This window comes from Homo sapiens, chromosome 4 (genome assembly GCF_000001405.40).
Source record: "Homo sapiens chromosome 4, GRCh38.p14 Primary Assembly".
Taxonomy (NCBI): Eukaryota; Metazoa; Chordata; class Mammalia; order Primates; family Hominidae; genus Homo; species Homo sapiens.
The window spans coordinates 180459967-180486551 of record NC_000004.12 but is presented as its reverse complement, the minus strand read 5'-3'; the positions used below and the strand labels follow the sequence as shown (position 1 = coordinate 180486551).

General features: G+C 35.4%; 2 long non-coding RNA genes across 4 annotated transcripts in view; one reads left to right on the top strand and one right to left on the bottom strand.

The window, feature by feature from the left end:
* LOC105377565 (uncharacterized) overlaps nt 1-26120 on the top strand; it is a 72379-nt gene extending 46259 nt beyond the window's left edge. The window contains exon 3 of the long non-coding RNA XR_939517.3: nt 26052-26120. This is a non-coding gene — a long non-coding RNA (uncharacterized LOC105377565). The remainder of the gene's footprint in view (nt 1-26051) is intronic.
* Nucleotides 1-26585, bottom strand: part of LOC105377567 (uncharacterized) — a 158458-nt gene that overhangs the window by 69428 nt on the left and 62445 nt on the right. The gene's annotated exons all lie outside the window — the stretch shown is intronic.

Genomic DNA, 26585 nt, shown 5'->3' with positions numbered 1-26585 from the left:
ATAGTCTTGACCTTGCTTACACTGCAAACGTGGTTGAAACTTAATTTGGGTCATTTCTGGTAAGTGCTTGTGTTAGAGAAAAGCAAAACTTAAAACCCCAACCAATGAAAAGCAGCCAAGAAACATCTGAATAACATCTGAGTGCCTATAATCTCAGCACTTTGGGAGGTCGAGGTGGGAAGATCACGAGTTCAGGAGATCGAGACCATCCTGTCTAATACATCTCTGTCTCTACTAAAAATACAAAAAAATTAGCTGGGCGTGGTGGTGGGCGCCTGTAGTCCCAGCTACTTGGGAGGCTGAGGCAGGAGAATTGCTTGAACCCAGGAGGCAGAGCTTGCAGTAAGCTGAGATCATGCCACTGCACTCCAGCCTGGTCGACAGAGCAAGAATTCATCTCAAAAAAAAAAAAAAAAAATTTGCCGCAGGTTTTTCTTTGTTTTTTCTTTTTTTTTTTTTTAGCAGCATAAAAATTTTACTTAGGAATATGGAGATAATTAAGAAAATGCAAAAGAATTTGAAAGTTTTTCCCATGAGAAATACACCCTCCATTTATTTCAATATTTGCAGTCATCATAATCTTCATTCTTGATGTTCCTTGGAGAAAATTCATCCACTTCATTCTAATATTTCACCAATTTCTTTGTAAAATTAAAATGTAATAATTTTATAATTATAATTTATGGGGAACATGGGCTATTGTGATAGCTGCATACATAACAGCATGGTATTGGCAATAAAAACACACACATACAAGAAAAATGTTTTGACATACAAATCTAGGATATGTCCCAACTAGTTTCTAAAAAATCATATGGTCCAATGGAGTTCTGAAATAAACAAGTTTTGCCAAATTTTATTTACTTTCATCTTTTCAGCCTGGAGTAAAACATCATATATTTTCAAAGGTCTACTTCTAATAACATTTTATTTATTTATTTATTTATTTATTTATTTATTTATTTTTTACTTCAAATGATGGAGCAGGTATTGAGAGTGTGAAAAATCCTTTTTCTAGCTATCCCTATGCTCTGCTTCCTCACATTCTTCAGTTTCCAGCTCAAATGTCAGCCTATTAACAAGCCCTCAAGACCTTCTTTTAAGAAGCCTCCCAAGGACTCAACATCTCCATAACACAATTTGATTGTTCCCCAAAGTGCATTTCACCATCTGACATATGCTATCTTAATGTATTGATTGGAGCTTCTCACTAGGATGTAAGTTACATGAGGGCAGGGACTTAATTTATTTTGTTTATTTCTACATAACTGGCAATGCTAATCATATAACACATGATCAATATTTTCTGATGTGGTGTTAAGTTGGTTCCTCATTTATTTACATGCATCCTGTACACGTACCTATTTACAAAGTTCTAAGTATTTTATTATTCCTATAGTAATAATATGATTGACACTATTTACAAGTAGTATTAATACCAGCATGCTTAATACATTTTCAAAAAATATTTGACTAAGAATACCAGTACAAGCTACACATTAGTCACTATACAACACTTCTTTACACTGTAACATAATTTATGGAGATATTTCATTTCTTAAACTCTGATTTGTCTTCTTTTAAATATTTTGCAGTGTTATGAAGCAAAAGATTGGAATGTATTTAAAATAGTGCCAGCTTATCTTTAAAGAGTACTTCATAAAGACTATAATTTCAGGGATCATATCTATAGTTTGTTACTAGAGAACTAGAGAAGTTTTTCTGAACGTGTAGAGCACCAAAAAAAAAAAAAAAAAAAAAAAAAAAAAAAAAACCAAGAGTATTTCATGGTAAGTACTAAATAGATGGCTTCTTTTCCTGTAAGTTGACAAAAGAATTGAAGGAAGAAAGGAAGGAAGGAAAGAGTAAAGAAAAAAAGTGAATTAGAAAAGAAAAACTATACATACAAACACACACCATCAAAAAGAGAGGCAATGAGTACATATGTTTGTATTGGTCTTGATTCATGGTTCCCAACTGAGGGTAAATTTCTCCTCTACCCAGGAAACAGCTGGCAACATCTGGTGACATGTTTGGTTGTCATTACTTGGAGGAGGATCTACTCTGATACTGGTATCTAGTGGGTAGAATCCAGGGATGCTACTGACATATTAAAATGCCGAAGACAGTTCCTACTCATAACAAAAACTACCCAGCCCAAGATATCAATACTGCCAAGATGAAGAAACCTTGGTTTTGATCCTGGCTAGTTTGTAGAAACAAGTTCTTGCTATGTTGACCAGGCTGCTCTCAAACTCCTGGCCTTAAGCAAACCTTACAAGCCTGAGCCACTATGCCGGGCTAGAATTTTAAAAATAAAACAAAACAATGTCTCCCTGAGAATTGAATAACCTAAGCTAACCCTCACATGGATTTGGGACCTAAATTCATTCCAAGTAGCTCCTGATATTGGAAAGTGAGGGAGAAGGGAGTAAAAAAAATAGACCATTGTTTTCCAGGAAGCGCTTTTAAACTGAAAGGAACTGGGAGGAGTTTTTTGTGCGGCACCCCCTCCCCTTTTTTTACTTAGGAGGGGGCAGGGGGCATCTCAATAATCGAAACAAAACTAATAAATACCCTCGTTGAGAAAAAAAAACTTTCAAAGTATAACGCTGTAAATTACCTACAAAATAGTACATTTTCCATTCATATTAAGCATAGGAGAAAAGCGGAAAACATAGTTTCAGATTTTAAGAAAACAAAAGGCTCTACTTACTAATTACTACAGAAATTTAATGTGATACAGTTTTTTTCCTCAACTGTCTCATTTATATTATATATTCTTAGCTTCAGAATAATTTGATTTGTATTAATATACGTATCATATTATATGATTTATATTATTCTGAAGATAAGAAGTAGATTCTTTAAGAACGCCATTTTTTATTTAGCTAACTGTACTTGCAGCCATTTGAGAGCATTGGTCACCAAACCCCGTAGCAACAAATGTAGCCAAATGTAATGAGGTGATATAGTGTCCATTGTTTTTTTAGGGACTTTTGCTCTCAACTTTGTAATCAGTGTTGAAACTGTCTTTCTTCCCCACTATGGAGATTGCATTGCAATTCAGTTTGGGATAAAGTGAATGTATTATCTGAAGATTTAGTTTTGTTACTTGGAGGTTAACCTGTTTGATTTTTATTATCTATTTATAAAGGATCTAACACTCACTTCAGAGTTGTGAATTGCAAGTGTGAATTTTGAAAAGTAGGGTACTTGACTTTTTGGATGGTAACAGTGGGAAAGGGGTGTTGGTACACAGTCTCCTCGTCTCTCCTCACTGCTGTTAATGCAAGCCATCTGCTAGCTGTTGCATATTTCTCCTTGTGCTGAATTCCTACTGCCCATTCTTGGATAAATCCATATGCTGGGCTTGCCCACTCACATGAGCCTGTCTGTTTCTGTAACCATAAACTATCAACTCTCAGGCTCAAATATAAAACATACTCATTTTTTTAATAAAGGAGAATTAAAGGAAAATTATATTTTTCTTCTTGTTTGCTTTCATGATACTTTTATTCCCTTCATTAACTGAAACTTATCAGATGAAGTCACATAAATGTTATTGCATTTAAAAATTCTCCTAAGCTATTTTGAGTGACTTTGAATATAGTTCCTTTACTTTAAAGCAGCGGTTAGCAAACATTTTTGGTAAAGGGCCACATAGTAAATAATTCAGGATTTGCAGAACGTCGTGTCTCTGTCTCAACTATTCATCATTGCTGTTGTAGCACAAATCCAGTCAGAGACAACATGCAAACAAATGAAACTGGCTCTAGTCCAATAAGATTTTATTTAGGATCACTAAATTGTGAATTTTATAAAGTTTTCACAAGGCACAAAATATTCTTCACCTTTTTTTCAACCATTTACACATGTAAAACCCATTCTTAGCCTACAGGCCATACAAAGCATGCAATGGTCACATTCATCCTTGCGGGCCATAGTTTGCAAACCCTTGCTCTAAGCTATAGTGTTTGAAACTCTAGATCATTTTTCTCTTCCAACAAAAATTATACAGGCACTTGTAATCTACATTGTCTACATAAAAACAAAACAAAAAAAATCTAATCATCACCACAATACCTGTTTCTAACAGAGAATATGGTAACTTTTTCCCTATAAATATTTATATGCTTACATCTTTGAAAACATATTATCATTCTATGCATGTTGAAGCTTTTTGCTGAAGCTCCTTAATAAACCAATAAATCTTACTGCTTTGCTTGAACCTTTTGAGTATGTTTCTCCTTTAGGTAATAAGAATCAATTCTGCATTGTGATCAATGCAAGGAACATATTACCTGCATGTGGATGTCCAACTGACTTCAAAGTATCCTTGGATTAAATCCATGGGGTGCAAAACCAGAAGAGAATTAGAACTGTCCATGATGACTCCAAACAATCACATAGCTACTGTACACCCAGTTTAAAAAGTCAGATTTAGAAAATAAATTAGAAATTAAACTTTCCGCTACCAAGGTATTATGGCAATATTTTTCTTTGCAAGCATGAGAATTGTACAATCGCCTTGTCTCAAGGTATCCATTTGCCTCTCTGAATGACTGACAGGAGATTATTATTTGTATCTTTGTCATTACTAAATAAATTGCACCTTTGGAAATTAGTGCTTACCTCAATGAACTGTGCCACAAGGAAACCTATAAATAAATTAAATAGCTGAAGGTACTTATAAAAGCAGTATGAAGAGATAATTCTCTTTTCCAAATTTTAATAGTGCATACAATCTTTCCCCCTAAAATATCTGATCTCTTTTTATTCATATTTCCTATTATCACTGAGAGCAAAGTAGCATTCTAACCATTCAGTGGTAGATAACTATCCCTAAGAACTTAACTCTCATCAAGATAGAACCACCCTTCAATGTTAGAAGTTCCAGTCTTCCCAGCATGCAACATGTGAAGGTTACCTGTTTCCAAGCAATACCAGCAGGATTAGTTACAGACCAATTGCATAGGCAGAAAATAAGAACAAAAGGCTTACTGAAATATTTAAAAGAAGGGAAAGAGAAAAGAGAACACTTTTCTTTACTGACTGCTTTAGTCACTGGATGCCCTAAATATGCCACACTCTTTCTTATCCTGTATTTACTTTTGCTGCTTACTGAGCTAAGAATGTCTTCTCCCTGTATCCAAATGCTGAACCTCTGTTGCATGCTCAAGAGTCCAGATGGACTTTGCTGGTCTTCCCAAGCAGTAAAGCACTCCTTCCTCTGATTTCCCACACTGCCATGTACATAGCAAATGCAAAAGTCCTTAACCTATTCCATGGTTGTTATTAATATTGTATGTATTGGACTCAAAGCTTATTTCAGACTGGAATTATTTCCTTTATATATTGGTATCCATCCATGTCATCTAGAACAGTGTCTATCAATAAATGTTGAGTGAATGGGGAAGAATGAAATTTATCAAGCAAAGGAACAAGAGGAATCTATCAGAGTTCCACCCATTACTATAGATGACACTCTGTATAGTTTCTAATTTCCAAGTCTTCATCTGGCAAAGGACAGCTAGGATAGTTCACTGGGGGAGAAAGGAGGTAATTTCAGTAGTTAAGGCGAGATTCACATTAAAAATAGCAATGATTGTATTAGAAACATTAATGAAAGAACAGTAACGGTTACCATTTATTGTCTGTTTCTCTGCTAAGCATTGCGTGTATTTTGCCTTTTTTATCAGCATTTTTATGCAAATGACAGATCTGTACAGAATGTATATATGCTGTAGCACTAGATAGCTTTATTCTCTCCTCCCCCATCTCACCAGATTACTGCCCAGCTAATAGCAGCAAAGAGGTCCTATCCAAACATTCCCCTGATAAGAGAGTTTTCGTTCTGTGCAAGTTTTTCACTCTATTCAGCCTGACGCTAGTTTGTCAGGAAGATGAGAGTACAGCAGTAGGTATAATTGTTAGAACAGAATTCATTTCAAATTACTCATCCTCCACAAGTACGTTAGGGAGAAAAAAGACAAAAAGCTACGCAGAAAGAGGAAGAAGTACAGTTATCAATGATGATTCCTTTCAGTATGATATTGAGCACTGGCTTATCTTTTGCTCTTCTGTAAATTGCATTTGTGAAAGCCTGAGAATCTTGTTACATTTGAGTTAAGTTATATAAGCATGTCTTATACAAGTTAATGAGAATGACATGAAAGGAAAATAAATCTCTTTTTCAATGAAAATGGTTATAAATATGTCAGCAGATTTAATATTTTAAATGATTAAATAATGTTTTCATTTGAAAATAATGTTCAATTTTTAGTTAGCTTTAACAAGGTCATTAAAGAATCTTATACTGTATCATATTTAGTATTAAATTATAAAATAACCCTGGATCACATATTGGTATAAAAAATTACATGTAGAAAACACATTTTTAGTGATATTCTCACATTCTTTCATAATAACCTGTTATGCATTACAAAAACATAAACTCCAACAAAAGTACCTTTGATGAATGTAAAAATTGAGAATATCTGAAATGTACACTCTATGTTTCATAACTCAAATTTAGTATATCTCCCCTAAACATTTTGTTGTCAAGAATTTTTGTTTTAAAAGTATATTTTAGGTTAATCTATTTATGACTTGATGTGAAGCCAAGTGAATAATTATATACATGAAAAGTATAAAATAATTATAAATAAGTTTGGAAATTTGTTCCCAGTTCATTAGCTTCAGCACATTTATCATTGTACAATTTAATTCCAACAACTGTTACATGTAAACCATTTTGTCCAGTTAATCTCTATTTTAAAAGTACATTCAGCCGGGCATGGTGGCTCACGCCTGTAATCCCAGCACTTTGGGTGGCCGAAGTGGATGGATCACCTGAAGTCAGGAGTTTGAGACCAGCCTGACCAACATGTGAAACCTCATCTCTACTAAGAATACGACCATTAGCGGGGTGTGGTGGTGGGTGACTGTAATTCCAGCTACTTGGGAGGCTGAGGCAGGAGAATCACTTGAACCCAGGAGGCACAGGTTGCAGTGAGCCGAGATTGCACCACTGCACTCCAGCCTGGGCCACAGAGCGAGACTCCATCTCAAAATAGATACATGAATAAATAAATAAATACATAAAAGTACATTTAAAAAAAGGCCTGTATAGCCAGCTGTTGCTATTTTATAATATGATGCATTTAATGTATATTAACACCCCTAATGAGAGCAGATGGCAGTTACCCCTTTTAACATGTTTAAAGCATTAATTTTTTCAGTTTAATTTCTGCTGTGTTGAGCACTGGGCATTTTAAAAAGTAACATGTTCAAGTTCAGAATGAATATTTGCAGCAAGATCATTAAGTGAAATTCTGCTGTCATTTTAATTAACTCATTTGGGATGTATCTAAATTCATCATTATTGATGGCTGTTTTTGTAAAAATTCTCTAACAATGCTGTACCTTAAAAAATGAGAAGTGACATAGCATACTATTTAGTAATCATAGAGCTGAAGTATTTTTGACTATATTTTAAAAATGAAGTTGTCCATGCGCCTTAATTAAACTACTAGGTACACATGAAATCTGAGACAGTTCTTAGCTATTTACTTTATTATGATAAAAGACCAAACAATTTCTTTTTCTCAACTCTTGTTTTGATAGAATATCTATCAGTAATTTTAAAAATTGATTTAATGGTCTGCAGAAACTCTTTTAAACATATTTATAACAAAACAGATATTTAACCACCATCATAATTTTAATTCCTGGAAGATATACAAGTGAATGACTAGCATGTATTGAAAATAAAATCTTAAGAATTGTTTTAAATTGAGAAACTCTGTTTTATCTAAATCATTTCAGAGAGATTAATGCCTGTAAACCAGTCTGTAAGATGTCTGTAGAGGATTATCTAATGCTCAAAACGGCCAATTTGAATTCATTTATTTATTTTATATATATATATATTTATTCAATATATATGTATATTGAATATATATAGAACTACAGTGGCCCAGGCATAGTCCCAGGCACTGGAGATATAATGGCGAATAAAACCTATAACATTCCTGCCATCATGTAACTTGAATTTTGGGGAAAGATGAATACAAAACAGATTCACACATATATCAATAACATATTCAGATGATAGTGCTCTGACAATTTCAAAATCAGGATATGAGAGATAGAAAGTCTTAGAGGAATGATTGGTTGTAATTTTTTGAAGATCTTACAAAAGATTGTACCTCTTACACATCTCACAAATATTAATACAAATTTAGCATCTCTTTACAATCTATGAAGAGTCTTTGAGCACTAGCAAAACGTGAAAATTAAGTAGATGAAGACAAGTCGAAAACAAAGTTATTTATTTATTTAGAGAAAATGTTGACGTCTTCTGAAAATAGAGAAATTTGAAGGTTTTAAGAGAAAAAAACAGATTAAATTTTTTTTAAACCTTTACTTGGTCCTTTAAATATGTTGAACAATATCTGAATCCTCAGAAAGTCTTGCTTTTTAGAATAATTTAATGAATAACAATAGTCATTCTGCAATTAGAACATCATGTGTTCCAGAATCTTTGTTAAGCTATGTATAAAGATTGTCTCATTAATTCTTATAATACATTCGTAAGTTAGATATTGTCTCCATTGTATAGAGGATAAATCAAAATTACAAGCAGTTAAGTCACTTTGTCAAAATCACACTGCTTGCAAATATGTGGCAGACCTGAGATTTAAATATCCCCTCATGTGTGATTTCAAATATTATGCTGCACCATCAACCTCGTGCTATTTTATTAGTCCTATTTTTTTTTTACTAATGACTGAGTAAACATTTAATTTTTAAAAGCACTTTTTTTTTTTACCACTACTAGAAAAACTAAAACATTTGAACTCCAACCTAAAGTTCATACATGCTAAAATCAAGCTAGGGAGATTATTGTAAAACTCAAACAAAAATATACAAAAAGAAAATTAAAGAATAAAATCTCTCAAGGAAGTAAAAGGTTAAAAAGAAGAAAACAAAAAAACTAGTGAAAAAGCATTAATACTGGAAGAAGACAGGTCCGAGGAACAAATTCAGATCTTGAAATGACAATGCCTCTAAGACAGAGAAGTGAGCAAGCATTGAAAAATGAACAACAAAGACAAGAAATGGGAATATAGTCAATCAATTTCATATGTATTTAATATAGAATCCATTACTTGTGCATTGAGTACTAATGATAAATACAATTATACATTATGTGTGTATATATATATATACACACACATATAAACATATATATACATACACACAAATACAAATGATTAAAAATATCATTCTGCCTGGCTTCATACTGTAGGAAGCATATGCTGCCCATGTGTCAGGCAAGTGACAGGCCACAATGACAATTCAAGTGGGAACTTGATGAAGTGTCAAGTTCTTTATGAGAAAAAGGTAATGCGGCCTCCAGCCAATGTTCCTCATGTGCTTTCAGCCTATAACTTTTATATTGTACACTGTATACTTTGTCAAAAAGACAGCACAGTATACCAGAAAATGCACTTAACTGAGAGTAAAGAGATCAGACTTCTAGTGCTATACCTGCCCTCATGTAGCTAAAGGTACATGAACAGCTTACTTGATTGTAATATATAAAATGAGAAGGTTAGACTAGGTAATCTTGAGAATGTATGAAAATGTCATGATTAAAATCTATATTTGCATGTGTGTCTCTGTGTGTGCATGCATCTTCAATTCATTGTTTTCTTAAAAAGTGAAAAGAAAAGTCAGATGTGAAACGCAAAGCAATTTTTCTTCCAGTGTGGAGAAGTAAGCTCCTGAACAGAATTATACTTAGTGAATGCACTGAGTTATAATTCTATAGCACCTTGTAAAAGGATTTCATTTAAATCATGATGAAAGCTTATGAGGAATGTTGAAGAAATTAAATGAATATAGACCAGAAACTCCTGAAAAAGCTTATTAAGAGGCAAGGGTGCTGAAGGAAATAGGAATATAATTGAAGAACTCTTAATGTACATTTTATGAGCACATTTGTTCCTGCAGAGGCTCATAAAGCAGAAAAGTAGCCAACAGACTTTCTTTATTTCTGCAAAATGGAAAGGATCCCAATACACATTCGCCTATTACTATCTAATTTAATGACTACTGTGGCAAATGTCATAGAAACAATTTAAAAGGATCAAGGAGCACATTTCACATTTTGATTAAGGCAAATACAAGGTATTTGAGAAAATGCATCCTTTTTATTTGAAAATGCTATTTCTATATTTCTAGCACAAGATAATCAGGTCACATGACCACTCCCAAATGTGTCTTTTACAGTTTCAAGATTTGAGGGAAATGTTGAACATTTAATGATAATAGTCATTAAATGAAATATGCACTTTCAACGTATGCAATGTTAATTTAACCTTAGCTTAGAAAAATGTGGCTTTTTTGAAAAGTATTTTATTTTATATCTGTATATAAGGACATAGCCAAGACTGGGTAATTTATAAAGGAAAGAGGTTTAATTGACTCACAGTTCCACAGCGCTGGGGAGGCCTTGGAAAACTTACAATCATGCCAGAAAGGGAAGCAAACACATTCTTCTTCACATGGCGGAACTCACTATCACAAGAACAGAATGGGGGAAAGCAACCCCATAATTCAATTATCTCCACCTGGTTCCTCCCATGATACTTGGGGATTATGGGAACTACAATTCAAGATGAGATTTGGGTGGAGACACAGCCAAACCTTATCAATATCATAAGGCAGGTGCAGTGGCTCACGCCTGTAATCCAAGCAATTTGGGAGGCCAAGGTGAGATGATTGCCTGAGACCAGGAGTTTGAGAATAGCCTGGGTAACATAGGGAGACCCTGTCTCTACCAAAAATAAAAATAAATCAATAAAAAGTAAGAAAATTATACAGTAACTCCTCACTTAACATCATCAATAGATCCTTGGAAACTGCAACTTTAAGCCAAACAATGTTTAATGAAACCGATGTTCTTATAGGCTAATTGATATAAATGAAGTTCTTAGGGCATATTTTTGGTCACAAAGACATCACCAAACTTCTAACTAGAGACCAAGGTACTTCTAATATTAAACAATGAAATAAATGTGTGCTCTCTCTATATATATTTAAGAAGGATTAGTCAAAACAAGATAAGTATTTACCTGCTTATTCCAGTTCAGGGTTGAGGGTGGCCACAGCCCTTCACACCAGCTTAGGACCCCAGGTGGGATCTTTCCTGTAGGGGCACCCCCCCATCACAGGGCAACTCACACTCACCTTCACCCACCCTCACCCACACTCCCAGCGACCATGTACACATGGCAGTGAGCCTAACAAGCACATCTTTGGGAGGTGGAAGGAATTGGGAGAAAACCTACGCGGATGTGGAGACAACATGTGGACTCCACACAAGGGGCCCAGCCTAGAAGTGATTGTTTTTTCTTTTCTCATCAACATCATAATAAATGGCACTGAACAGTATTATTCGAGGACCTACTGCATAATTTGAAATATTAATATAATATTCCTATAGTTCTCACCAGAGCAAACAGAAGGATATTTCCTATTTGTATTCTTGAAGTTAAAAGACAGGTGAAATATTTATTTCTTTAAATTTATTTATTTTAATCGTACAGCATGGAGATAAAATACAGAAAAAAACTTCTTGTAAGAAGAGGCCTTTTTACAACAGTCTATTAAAAAGACTTAATGATTCCCAATACTAATGAAAGTTGTCATGTAAAAACAAAGACACACAGAAAGGAAACAGAAACTCAAATGATCAATAAACAGCTTAACTTGCATGTACATAAATTTCACTAAATCAAATATAAGTCATGAAGAGATCTACTGACATTGGCAAAAAAACATATTTTAAGCAAAAGAAGAACTTTAGGTTTACAAGAGATATTGCTAATACTTTTATTCTATGTATTCCTTATCAAATTGATTATAGAAACTGTATATTAATTTATATTCATAACAACTTATGACAACCTCAGGAAAGAAACAGCAAAATAAAGAGTTTCTGACTCATTTCTTTCAGCCCAGGCTTTAAAAAAATTGCCTTCAGGTAATTTGGCTATTTGTTACACAAGAAATTTATAATGTGACAGCAAATATGACTAAATAAAGATCTAACAGGAGTGGAATTTATCCTTCTATTCAAATTAAAAATAAATGCCCAGATGGTTATGAATTTTCCAGATAGGCAGTATTGGTTCCATTTTTATCCCTTTTACTGATGTCTCTCATCTAAGAAGAGCTCACAGGGCAAGTGTTAACAAAAGAGACATCTGAGCGAACTTCACCTGGGAGAATTCCCTTTCCTGAATAAACCCATGAACCTAAAAGGCATCAACTGGGGTAGGCTGAATAATGGCCTTTCAAAAATGTCCACATTCTCATCTATGGAACCTGAGAACATGTTACCCAATATGGCAGAAGGAATTTTGCAGGTCTAATTAGATTACGGATCTTCAGATGGGGATATTATCTTGGATTTTCTGGACAGGAATGGTGTAATCACAAGTCTTTATAAGAGGCAAGCAGGGGGTTAAGAGTCAGAAAAGAAGATATGAAGATGGAAGCAGAGACAGAAGAGATGGAGGCCCACCAGCCAAAGGATACGGGCAGATTCTAGAAGCTGGAAAAGGCAAGGAACAGGTTCTCTTTCAGGGCCCCCAAAAGTAAGCTCACTGACCCATTTTGGACTGTGAACTCAGAACTATGAGATAATAAATGTGGTTTGTTTTAAGCCGTTATGTTTGTGGTAGTAGGTCACAGCAGCAATAAAAAACTGATACAACTATGTGGCCAACTAAACCAAAAGTGGATAATTTGGATCTTGACTCTTCAGACCCATGTTTACATTTACTCTATACCTAAAACATTTCTGCATGATGATCCATGCCATCAAAGAGAGCTAAATGTTAATAGGTAAATGATAAACAAAATATTATTTTAATTTCATGATTAAAATAACAAATGCCTATTAATTATATCTGTGATTAGAGCCACTTAGCATATCACGTCATGAAAACAGCTGGGAAACAGACTGTCTTTAAAGTCTCCTTTGAATTTTGGGAAAGCCTGTCATAGTGTTTTTTAATTATTTGTCTTTGTTGACTTTAAGAAATTAGTATGGTCACATGTGAATTTTTTTATCCATAAAATCTTGGTGAAAGGTTGTATTTTTAAATGCAATATACAAATTAGCAATTGTTAAGCACTGCTTGTTACTTTCAGCCACTGCCTTAATTATGTTGAAGCACAGGTAGGACAGATATAAATCTTGTGGTAACAAAGATAATTAAGCAAAGCACATATTGTTAAAGATTTAAACAAACAAATAAAATAAAAATATTGGCTGCATGTTAGTATGCTAGATCCTGAACTGAACATAAAAATCAACAAAGGTTTTCTGTTTTTTTAATATACTTTAAGTTTTGGGATGCATGTGCCGAACATGCAGGTTTGTTACATAGGTATACATGTGCCATGGTGGTTTGCCGCACCCATAAAACCATCATATACATTAGGTATTTCTCCTAATGCTATCCCTCTCCCAGGCCCCCACCACCCGACAGGCCCTGGTGTATGATATTCCCCTCTCTCATTGTTCAGCTCCCGCTTATGAATGATAACATGCAGTGTTTGGTTTTCTGTTCCTGTGTTACCTTGCTGAGAATGATGGTTTCCAGCTTCACCCATGTCCCTGCAAAAGACATGAACTCTTTGTTTTTTATGGCTGCATAGTACTCCATGGAGTGTATGTCCCACATTTTCTTTATCCAGTGATTATCCATCATGGATGGGCATTTGGGTGGGTTCCAAGCCTTTGCTATTGTGAATAGTGCTGCAATAAACATACGTGTGCATGTGTCTTTGTAGTAGAATGATTTATTTATTTTTTATTTATTTATTTTTTTGAGATGGAGTCTCACACTGTCACCTGGGCTGGAGTGCAATGGAGCAATCTTGGTTCACTGCAACCTCCGCCTCCTGGGTTCAAGTGATTCTCCTTCCTCGGCCTCCTGAGTAGCTGGGGTTACAGGCACCTGCCACCACGCCCAGCTAATTTTTTGTATTTTTAGTAGAGATGGGTTTTCACTATGTTGGCCAGGCTGGTCTTGAACTCCTGACTTCATGATCCACCCGCCTCAGCCTCCCAAAGTGGATACATTCCATCAATAACTAGTTTATTGAGTGTTTTTAGCATGAAGAGGTGTTGAATTTTATTGAAGGCCTTTTCTGCATCTATTGATATAATCATGCGGGTTTTGTCATTGGTTCTTTTTATGTGATGGATTACGTTTATTGATTTGCGTGTGTTGAACCAGCCTTGCATCCCAGAGATGAAGCCGACTTGATCATGGTGGATAAGCTTTTTAATGTGCTGCTGGATTCGGTTTGCCAGTATTTTAATGAGGATTTTCGCACTGATGTTCATCAGGGACATTGGCCTGAAATTTTCTTTTTTTGTTGTGTCTCTGCCAGGTATTGGTAACAGGATGATGCCGGCCTCATAAAATGACTTAGGGAGGAGTCCCTCTTTTTCTATTGTTTGGAATAGTTTTAGAAGGAATGGTACCAGCTCCTCTTTGCACTTCTGGTAGAATCTGGCTGTGAATCCAACTGGTCCTGGGCATTTTTGGCTGGTAGGCTATTAATCACTGCCTCAATTTCAGAACTTGGTATTGGTGTATTCAGGGATTCGACTTCTTCCTGGTTTAGTCTTGGGAGAGTATATGTGTCCAGGAATGTATCCATTTCTTCCAGATTTTCTAGTTTATTTGTGAGGAGGTGTTTATAGTATTCTCTGATGGTAATTTGTATTTCTGTGGTATCAGTGGAGATATCCCCTTTATCATTTCTCTTGTGTCTATTTGATTCTTCTCTCTTTTCTTCTTTATTAGCCTGGCCAGTGGTCTATGTAATTTGTTAATGTTTAAAAAAAAACCAGCTCCTAGATTCATTAATTTTTTGAAAGGTTTTCATGTCTCTATCTCCTTCAGTTCTGCTCTGATCTTAGTTATTTATTGTCTTCTGCTAGCTTTTGAATTTGTTTGCTCTTGCTTCTCTAGTTCTTTTAATTGTGATGTTAGGGTGTTGATTTTAGATCTTTCCCACTTTCTCCTGTGGATATTTAGTGCTATAAATTTCCCTCTAAACACTCCTTTAGCTGTGACCCAGAGATTCTGGTACATGTGTCTTTGTTCTCATTGGTTTCAAAGAACTTATTTATTTCTTCCTTAATTTTGTTATTTACCCAGTAGTAATTAAGGAGCAGGTTGTTCTGTTTCCATGTAGTTGTGTGGTTTTCAGTGAATTTCTTAATCCTGAGTTCTAATTAGATTGCACTGTGGTCTGAGAGACTGTTTGTTATGATTTCCATTGTTTTGCATTTGCTGAGGAGTATTTTACTTCCAATTACGTGGTCAATTTTAGAATAAGTGCTATGTGGTGCTGAGAAGAATGTATATTCTGTTTATTTGGGGTGGAAAGTTCTGTAGATGTCTGTTAGTTCCACTTGGTTCAGAGCTGATTTCCAGTCCTGAATATCCTTGTTAATTTTCTGTCTCGTTGATCTGTCTAATATTGACAGTGGGGTGTTAAAGTCTCCCACTATCATTGTGTTGGAGTCTAAGTCTCTTTGTATGTCTCTAAGAACTTGCTTTATGAATTTGGGTGCTCCTGTATTGGGTTCTTACATATTTAGGACAGTTAGCTCTTCTTGTTGCATTGATCCCTTGACCATTATGTAATGCCTTTCTTTGACTCTTTTGATCTTTGTTGGTTTAAAATCTCTTTTAGCAGAGACTAGGACTGCAACTCCTGCTTTTTTTTTTGTACTTTCCATTTGCTTGGTAAATCTTCCTCCATCCTTTTATTTTGAGCCTATGTTTGTCTTTGCATGTGAGATGGGTCTCCTGAACACAGCACACTGATGGGTCTTGACTCTTTATCCAATTCACCAGTCTGTGTCTTCTAATTGGGGCTTTTAGCCCATTTACATTTAAGTTTAGTATTGTTATGTGTGAATTTGATCCTGTCATTATGATGCTAGCTGGTTATTTTGCCCATTAGTTGATGCAGTTTCTTCTTAGTATCAATAGTCTTTACATTTTGGTATGTTTTTACAGTGGCTAGTACTGGTTTTTCCTTTCCTTTGCATACTTAGTGCTTCCTTCAGGAGTTCTTTGACATTTGGTGGTGACAAAATGCCTCAGCATTTGCTTGTCTGTAAAGGATTTTATTTCTCTTTCACTTCTGAAGCTTAGTTTGGCTGGATATGAAATTCTGGGTTGAAATTTTTTCCTTTAAGAATGTTGAATGTTGGCCCCCACTCTCTTCTGGCTTGTAAGGTTTCTGCAGAGACATCCACTGTTAGTCTGATGGGCTTCCCTTTGTGGGTAACCCAACCTTTCTCTCTGGATGCCCTTAACATTTTTTCCCTCATTTCAACCTTGGTGAATCTGACGATTATGTGTCTTGGGATTGCTCTTCTCGAGGAGTATCTTTGTGGTGTTCTCTGAATTTCCTGAATTTGAATGTTGGCCTGTCTTGCTAGGTTGGGGAAGTTCTTCTGGATAGTATCGTGAAGTGTATTTTCCAGCTTGGTTCCATTCTCCCTATCACTTTCAGGTACACCAATCAATCGTAGGTTTGTTCTTTTCACATAGTCCTATATTTCTTGGAGACTTTGTTCATTCCTTTTCATTCTTTTTTCTCTAATCTTGTCTTCATGCTTTATTTCATTAAGTTGATCTTCAATCTGTAATATCCTTTCTTCTGCTTGATCGATTCAGCTATTGATACTTGTTTATGCCTCACAAAGTTCTCATGCTGTGTTTCAGCTCCATCAGGTCATTTATGTTCTTCTCTAAACTGGTTACTCTAGTTAGCAGTTCCTGTAACCTTTTATCAAGGTTCTTAGCTTCCTTGCATTGGATTTGAACATGCTCCTTTAACTCAGGGGGGCTTGTTATTACCCACCTGCTGAAGCCTACTTCTGTCAATTCATCAAACTCATTCTCTGTCCAGTTTTGTTCCCTTGCTGGTGAGGAGTTGTGATCCTTTGGAGGAGAAGAGGCATTCTGGTTTTGAAATTTTCAGCATTTTTACACTGGCATTTCCTAATCTTTGTGGATTTATCTACCTTTGGTCTTTAACGTTGGTGACCTTTGGATGGGGTTTTTGCGTGGTTGTCATTTTGTTAATGCTGATGCTATTGCTTTCTATTTGCTAGTTTTCCTTCTGACAGTCAGGCCCTTCTGCTGCAGGTCTGCTGGAGTTTGCTGGAGGTACACTCCAGACCCTGTTTGCCTGTGTATCACCAGCAGAGGCTGTAGAACAGCAAAGATTGCTGCCTGCTCCTTCCTCTGGAAGTTTTGTCCTAGAGGGGCAGCTGCCAGATGCCAGCTGGAGCTCTTCTGTATGAGATGTCTGCCGACCCCTGCAGGGATGTGTCTCCCAGTCAGGAGGCACGGGGATCAGGGACCCACTTGAGGAGGCAATCTGTCCCTTAGCAGAGCTCGAGCACTGTGTTGGGAGATCTGTTGCTCTCTTCAGAGCCATCAGGCAGGAATATTTAAGTCTGCTGAAGCTGAGCCCACAGCCACCCCTACCCCCAAGTGCTCTGTCCCAAGGAGATGGGAGTTTTATCTGTAAGTCCCTGACCAGAGAGGAGGAATCTAGAGAGGTAGTCTGGCTACAGTGGCTTTGCTGAGGTGGGCTCTTCCCAGTTCAAACTTCCCAGCGGCTTTGTTTACACTGTGGGGGGAAAACTGCCTACTCAAGGCTCAGTAATGCTGGATGCTCCTCCCCTCACCAAGCTGGAGCTTCCCAGGTCCACTTCAGGCTGCTGTGCTGGAAGCGAGAATTTCAAGCCAGTGGATTTTTAGCTTGCTGGTCTCCATGGGGGTGGGCTCCATTGAGCAAGACCACTTGGCTCCCTGACTGCAGCCCCCTTTCCCGGGAAATGAACGGTTCTGTCTTGCTGGTGTTCCAGGCACCACTGGGGTTCGGAAAACAACAACAACAACAACAACAAAGAAAAACGCCTGCAGCTAGCTCGGTGTCTGCCCAAACGGCTGCCCAGTTTTGTGCTTAAAACCTGAGGCCCTGGTGGTATAGGCACTCAAGGGAATCTCCTGGTTTGCAGGTTGCGAAGACAGTGGGAAAAGCATTGTATCTGGGCTGGATTGCACTGTTCCTCACTCGCAGCTTCCCTTGGCTAGGGGAGAGAGTTCCCCAACCCCTTGCACTTCCCGGGTGAGGCAACACCCTACCCTGCTTCTGCTTGCCCTCTGTGGGCTGCACCCACTGTCTAAACAATCCCAATGAGATGAGCCGGGTACCTCAGTTGGAAATGCAGAAGTTACCCACCTTCTGCATTGGTCTTGCTGGGAACTGCAGACCAGAGCTGTTCCTATTTGGCCATCTTGCCTGGGAATCCCAAACAAATGTTTTTTAATTGGTGTTCACATGATAGTAGTGGTAGCCCCTGAACAATAAGACAGGACATTTATTAGAGGCACCAATTGCTGGAGCTATTCCAAGGAAGGCTGATGCAGCAGGTAGAATGCAGAAACTGTAGGAACCATTATCATTATAAAGCATGGCATATGAGGAACCACTCCTGTCATAGACTTTTCCCTGACCTAACCAGAAGGGACCTCTCCTGCTTCAGAAGCCCCATCCCAGTGGCCTGTGCGACTCCTAGAACACACTGATGACGTAGGTAGCAATAAGAGGATAAGAGGTTTTGTCTCTTATCTGCCCTCTTCCAATTGTAGGTTCTTAGAGAACAGTGCTTTTGTCTAATGGAAGTTAAATATTCTGCAGGTTAAGAAGCTGCAAATGCATTTGGAGTTTTTTTGTTTTTTTTTTTTTTTTGGTCTGTGTCAATTTCTTCAATATCTGTTTTCATCATTCACCTTTATCATTATAAACTGTAACAAATGTATCTAGCTCTTGTCAGAAGAAAGAATGAGTGTGAAAGATTTAATTATATGTATTAAACCCACGGAAAAGAATAGTTTTCTTGAACTTTGTGACTTTTTTGTGTAAATCTAAGAATCAACAGGAATAAATCCTCCTACTTTTTAGAAATTTGGCATGCGCAAATGATACATGCTTCCACAGACTTATGATTGCTAAATAGTTCAGATTACATGAATTATAATTTTTTCTTTGATTCATTTATAAACTCAATGAAATTATATTATCAATATTATTTTATAAATGTAACTTACATTTTAGAAATATTCTAGATATTTTATTTATCTTCTTAGCTCTAGTAATATCAAATTAGTTCTGGAAAGATTCATTCTTTTTGGATGCTTTGTTTGACCAAATATATATTTATTCTTCAAAAAAAACCCCACACAATTGAAGTAAAATTTGAAAGTATAACTATGTGATATTTAAAGAGGAACAATGAAAACACCGTAGTAGGCTTGCATTAAATAGGCAATCAGCTAATAAATCCATAAATGCTAATAGAGATTGTTAACCTTGAAAAATACTCCCAAACTGCATGTTTTCCCATTTCACTGGGATGCCACATTCTTATTTACAGGGATTAACTAGACTGATTTGTTCTGCTTTCTACACAAGCAGAAAATGTCAGGTTTTCAATTCAACAGAGCACAAATAAATATCAGTTTGCTTGTGTGTGGTTGTGTGTGCATGTGCACACACACACATACACACACCCATATCCAGAGTCGATGGGAGGATTATTATTTTTTTCTAGATGAACTCTGGAAAACAGCCTCAGAATGACTTATTTCTGATGCTAATTGCTGTTCTGCAGATATCATACTCTTCCTGGTCCAGACAGTTATGACAGAAGAGGTGCTACTTCCATAATCAATTTTGGCATGAGAGATGCTGTGCTAGTCGATGATGTGGAAAAATATGGATCAGACATTTCATCCATAATTGATTACAAACCTAATGTATTATTCCAAAAACCACAATTCTAGTCAGAGCCCATTCCTATTACACTATTTTTCCTCTTGCTATTTTGCTTTTTATAGTGTATTTCCATGAATTTCTAAAGTTGGACGATTAAACAAAGACAAAGATCTCTTACAGTAATTAGAGCAAATGAATGCTCTAGAGTCCACTCATTTCCTTGAAATATCAAATTCCATAAAATGCACACCGGTATTTCATTCTGCATTTGAGGATTTTGAACATTAAATAGAAGATCAAGTTTCACACTGAACAACATAAGTGATTATTTTCCCTTTATAAATATGAATACATTAACCTTTGGAGAGTAGTAGATGAGTGAATTATTGCTTTAAAGGTGAAAAATAACAAAGGGTTAAATTAATATGTTTAAGGTTTATATTATATATATATTTCATGTAATATTTAACAGTATTTATTAATACTTTGTAATCATGACCTAAAACATTTTCTTTTCTATTACATAAAACATATAATGTCCCTAATACTTCTAAGCAACCTAAAACTATGTTCCTATGCATAGTAGCCTGCTGTTCTCCCTTTTCATTAACCAAAGGTGGTCAAACCCTTACAAACAACTGACTGTGTGGCAGAAACAGTAAAATTATTCCAAAAATACTTATTGAAAGAACCATTGGTTAACTGACTAAATGAATACTACCTAAATTTGCTTAGTGGCTTAAGTATATACTTCTGCATTTTTCCAAGGAGCTGGCGGGTTTTGTTTATTCAACAAATATTTACTACATATGCCCTACTATTAATGCAATCTGCTAGGGACTGGGAATTAAAGAGTTATCCAAATACACTCATTAATTTGGAGGCTTATAGGGAATTCAGATCAGGACTCTCACAATTCCACCATTACAGAATATAATGTGGAAGAATGAGACTGTTCTGGAAATGAGGCTTTCTGGAGGACGGAACAACTAAATTGATACCTGAATGATGAGCAACTAATGGCCAGTTGAAGAAAACCCTTGTTAGTGGAAGTGAAATCAACTCTCACTGAGGAAATAGCATATGCAAATATCTAAAGTGGGGAGAGAGAGACAGAGAGAGAGGTGGGGGGAGTGATGGAGATGAGAGAAAGATACATTTGTTAGGTGGAAATAAAAGTATATTAGCTTGACCAGAATACACAGTAGACAGGGGATAGTCAAGAAACATAACTCAGACATCAACGTGAACTAGATCTTCACGGGCATGTGAGGCATATTGACAAATTCAGAGTTCTTTCTATTGTCAATGAAGACCAATTGAACATTTTCTATCAGAGGGTGATTAGAGCAATTAGATTTGTACCCTAGCAGTGAAACAAAGGGAATAGAAATAAATTTAGCCCAGATAGTACTAAAATTTCTGCTGAAATCCGGTGCTATCTGATGGCCCTCCAACCAGTTACATGGTTGGCAACTCCGTGAAGAAAAGTCATGACGATAGTTATGTGTAATTAAGACATTAGGACCTTATGTTACAGCATCCCTTTCACTGTTTATTCCCATAAAAATAAAGCACAAATAAATAAACAAAGCCTCCCAGCCTTCTTTCATTCTTAGCTATACTCTTCATCTTTTCTCTCTAATAAGCTATACTCTTTTCATAATTTTAACTTAAAAACAATGCTTTGAGAATTATATTTTATCAAAAGAATATTCAGAAGGCAACTAGTATTTAATATGAAAACCTACATTTTCCACAATAGATGCAATAAGGAAATAGGGATGATAAGATAGACCCTTAAAATTTTATATATTTACAGGTTTGAAGACATTTATGTATAGAAGTGTGTGCATGTGTATTTATCCACATATCAATCTATTCTATCTATCTAATCTTCTAGGCCAGGCCTATAGGAATTTATTGCTTAAAGAACTAAAAATATACATAATTTTACTGTGGAGATTATAAGGATTGGCAATGTAAAATATTAGGCTTTAATTTTATATATTCTCATGGGCTTATTAATATGGTAATTACTAACGTAATAGTAGATAGAACTTGTTTCTAATAACATTTTTGCTATTGACAAAAAATGGGCCTATCTTCAATTTTAAGTATATTTTCGGTCTCTTTGGGGAATAATCAGCTGCTCTCGTGTGTGTGTGTGTGTGTGTGTGTGTGTGTGTGTGCGTGTGTGTGTGTATAAATTCATAAGAAGGAAGAACTGACAGAAGAAAATTGGAGCGAAAGTATCTGAATATGTTATAGTAGTGACAGCCTCTATCAAAGTAGGATTTAAGAGCAGTAAAACAGCTCCTAGGTTGTCCTACTATTATCAATACTACTCAAACGTATAATCAACGACATTTTGCAACAGGGTATATGCCTTTGGCATTGCTAGTTTGCTGTTTGCATTAATATTTTTAAAGGGTCTTGGATGATGATATGGTATGTTTAAAAAACTACAAATAGAAGATATGTCAACAGCTTCAAGTATCATAGCTACTGGGTAGACTACAATAGTGAATACCAACTCTCGAACAACCTTGTCTAATAAATCTTATGAAATGCAGCAGGAATTCACATTTCTATCTGACTATGTCTGCCTCTCCTCCATTTATTTTCTCCTATTTCTGTTTCTGCCTGTCTACTCATTTATGCTTCATAATTTCCAAAAGGACTGGAAGTACTTTATAGAAATACATTTAGTTCAATAAGATAAAGTGTAAATAGAAGAAAATTGACAAGGAGCAGCAGGTGTTTTTTGTTCCAATGGCATCAGCAAACTAATGGTATGAGTTTGAATGTTTGAGTACAGTACCTCTGACAAAAGCCTTCTGATCCAATCACAAATTTAAGAAATTAGTCTTCCCCTTGAGAATTGCATGTTTCAAAGATAAGTAATAAAATCTAGGCCACATATATCAAATTTCCTGACTTTTATTTTACTATTCCACTATTAGCAATTATATACATTTCAAACCTTTATTTTCAAAAGGTGGCATTGATATTCTTCATCTCTAAAATCAACAACTTAGAAAAACTGTTCTCAGTTTTCCAACCAGATGGCATTGCCACTGTCTTCTTAATGAATATAAAAAGGCATAGTGAAGCAGAGTAAAACTGTAAATGTAAACAAAGGGGAAATTTATCATCTTTTTTATCCTCCTCAATAAGTACATGTCAATAACAAATATATTTTCTGATACCTAAAAAAAAACTCAAAGATTTTCATGATGTTAACTAGAGACATTACTGGATTTAATTCTGACCTATTTATGAAAACAAAATAAAATATATATCTTTCCTTTTTCAAAATGTAGAATCAATTATTACACTAAGAAAAAAATAATCGATCTTCTTATTACCTCCAACTCTCCTCGATCACATACCTTCAATGCCTTAGAATAGGCTATTTAACACATTAAATGCTGCCCTCTTATTACATGTACAGAAATGTGTCAGGCAGTATGTGTGATGTAAAGATGCATGTAAAGATCAGCAAAAAGGAATAGTATAAGATGATATTCAGGGAGATCTTCTAAAAGATTATATGAGGTGACCAAATGTATGGTACAGAGAATAATTACTGCTAGAAGAGAAAGAAGGCTTGGAATTACTGCTGGAAGAGAAAGAAGGCTTGGAAAGAAGGCTGGAAGAGAAAGAAGGCTTGGAATAATTACTGCTGGAAGAGAAAGAAGGTCTTAGCTAGGTTCAGAAAAAGAGGGAAAGAAGAAAACACCGAAGAAAAAAGCCTAGAGGAAAATATGATGTAGATTTGACAACCATTGGGAAAATCATATGAAAATTTTATATAGAGGAGAAAAGTTGGGAAAGTGTTAAAATTATGTAAAGGATGAAATAAATATCTGAAAGATAATTTGGATTTCAGAGACAAACTGTAAAGGCAGAAAATACTCAGGAAAAGACTTTCCACAAATGTTGTAAAGAATGTATTCGAATAACCAACACTCACAGAGAAAATATTAGCTTCCTCTACAAGTTTCCTTTATGCTATTCAGTGGCCTTTATTGTCAGGCATTTTTTTTGGAATTTTATACAAAATATTAAAACTTTGCATTGCACACTAAACCACCCTTTTGCTCCTAAAATCATTTAATTTATTTTGCAAATATATGTAAGAAAATGACAGCGATAATTTAGTGAGACGGGAGGATGAATTAATTTCCACTGAGTCACCGTCATTCTTCCGATTAATAAGTGTTAACTGTATAGCTGGACAGCCAATTATCTTCAGTATCTCCACAATCTAGTTCCTAGATGCCAAACAACTGTGACCATGTCATAACTTGCCTTACATAAACATAAAACAACACGTATCGAATGTCTTTTGTGTACTAGGCTAAATGCATTACCTACAAAACTCACTCAAATCTCACAAAACCCTTTGAAGTAGTTTATTATTGATATCTTCATTTTCTAAGAGTAAAGCTAGACCTCAGAGAAGTTAAGTGAATTGTCTAAGTTCACTCAACAGGGAAGGGTGGATCCATGGTTCCCATCTAAGCCAAGTTGCCACTCAACAAGGATGTTATTATAGAGATATTCTGCTTCAGCAGTACTCTAGGCACTACGAAGCTTAAAAAAAAAAAAGAGAGAGGATTTTTTTTCTTGATTAAAACCATCTTTCCTTCCAAAATATCTATTTCAGAATGTAAGCAGTGAAGCATAATTTAATTCTATAAGTTGTTCAACAACCAGTGGGAAATAAATTAAAATAATAAATAAATTAAAATGTTAACTATTCGAATTCACATCATAAATACAAAGACATGTGTGTGTATAATAAGACTACCAAAAGTAGTCTTATTTAGTTATGAAAAGATGCCTTTCATGCGTATAGCTTATAAAAGAATTTGCATTTTAATTGAGTAACAATTGTAGAAAACATTTTCACATGATCAGAGAGAAAACTCTTCATGAAAATCCATTGACCATAGTAGGACACCATTAATTTCTAGCAGCTCCTTAGCTTTTTATCAGGTTTATCTAAAGTCTCAAGTGCCAGACAGCCCTCTGAAGCACTTCAATTCTGGTAATAACAGGTTGTTTCCTCTGGAGTAACAACTTACTAGTCAATCTCGTTTTCAGTATTGTTAATGTAGGTATTTTCATATCACAAAGGTATTACCTCTTATTGCTATCAAACTGAGAAGTGTGATGATGGCTTTTTCCCTAGAAAGTGAAAGTTACATTATTTCATCTCTATTTCCCCCGTTTAATCTGCCTTTTGCATATGGTATTTTGAAAATTCCATCAAATAATTTTTATAGAAATTCCCCTCAGTGTTGCAACAGATACTATTTCAAAACCAAGGATCTAATTAAATGGTCCTAGTGATTTGTAATTTCTCACTGGGGAAATTAATGTCCCTGTTACATGCACATTTAAATGATTTTGTAGATACTGCTATAAAGACATAGCACATAAGCAAAGCTTGTCATTTACTCTGCAATCTAACCTAAGGATACAAACTCTGAGAAAAAAAGTCCTAAGTCCACTGCCTAATTTTTCAAAAGAGATGCACAGACAGCCCCTTAAATGAACTTCAGCTTTGGATATTGTCTAACTTGTCAATCAGAAAAACAGTTCTGCCCCTACTCAATCATTTTACTAAAAATATGCATAGAGACCAGCAACAGATGAAAAGAAAAAATAACTGTGGCTAAAGATACGTTTGTCCACAGTGGTCTGCTGAGGTCAGAATCACACAGCTTCTCTTATTTATGACTATCAGTCTATGTCGCCTCCAGGCACTTCCTAATGAAAATCCTTGCTCCTGGTAACACACTTCAAAGTCAAGCTGCTGGAATGTGCAACTGAAGGAGCAATAAAATATAAATTTATTTAAATGCACAGAGTAAGCAGCGGGTTATCACTGAACACTCTCAACAAAACATTTCAGTTTGTTTTGCTTTTTCTTGAAACACCTAAATGTTAACAGATAATTGGTAGTTTCAATTTTTAGTAGAAACGTAAGGCAATTTTTTTGCTCAAAATATGTTTGAACTCTATGCTTATTTAATATATAGGATGACATATTCTCATAGTTGCAGAATTTCAGTCCTGACTTTTTCTACCATGTCTCTATTGTTTGTTTTACTTTTGTTTTCTAGGTCCCATCTTCTTAGGAAGTTTTAAACAACTGTCAAAAGTATGCACAATCAAAATCAAGAATCAAATCTGAATATCACCGTAACCCATATTTTGCTCAGTTACCATCTTGTCAATTGCTTTTCAGTGATTTTTGCATAAAGGTTTGTTCACTAAACTGATAAAACAAAGTAACGACATCAAAGGAATATTTTTCAAAAACAGGTTTTGGCTACGTTGACTATTTCATGAGTGAATCCTCCCATATAACCTAAGTTAGTATATGAAAATATTTTTGGTGATACATTTTAAGCTGCTAGAAACAGCAGTGTAGTGAGATCTAGGAGTAAATTAATTCAATCAAATCAAGTCAAGTCTATAAGATGACATTACAAATTCCAAAACAATATCAATGCAAATCAGAGGGACAGTGTTTGGGCTAGCCAGTCCCCTATAAAATAGTATTTGAATATAAATTACTTTCAAAAATTGGAAAAGCGATCAGAAATAAATTTGATGCTACTCAATTTAGATAAATGTTGAGAGGAAAAAAAATC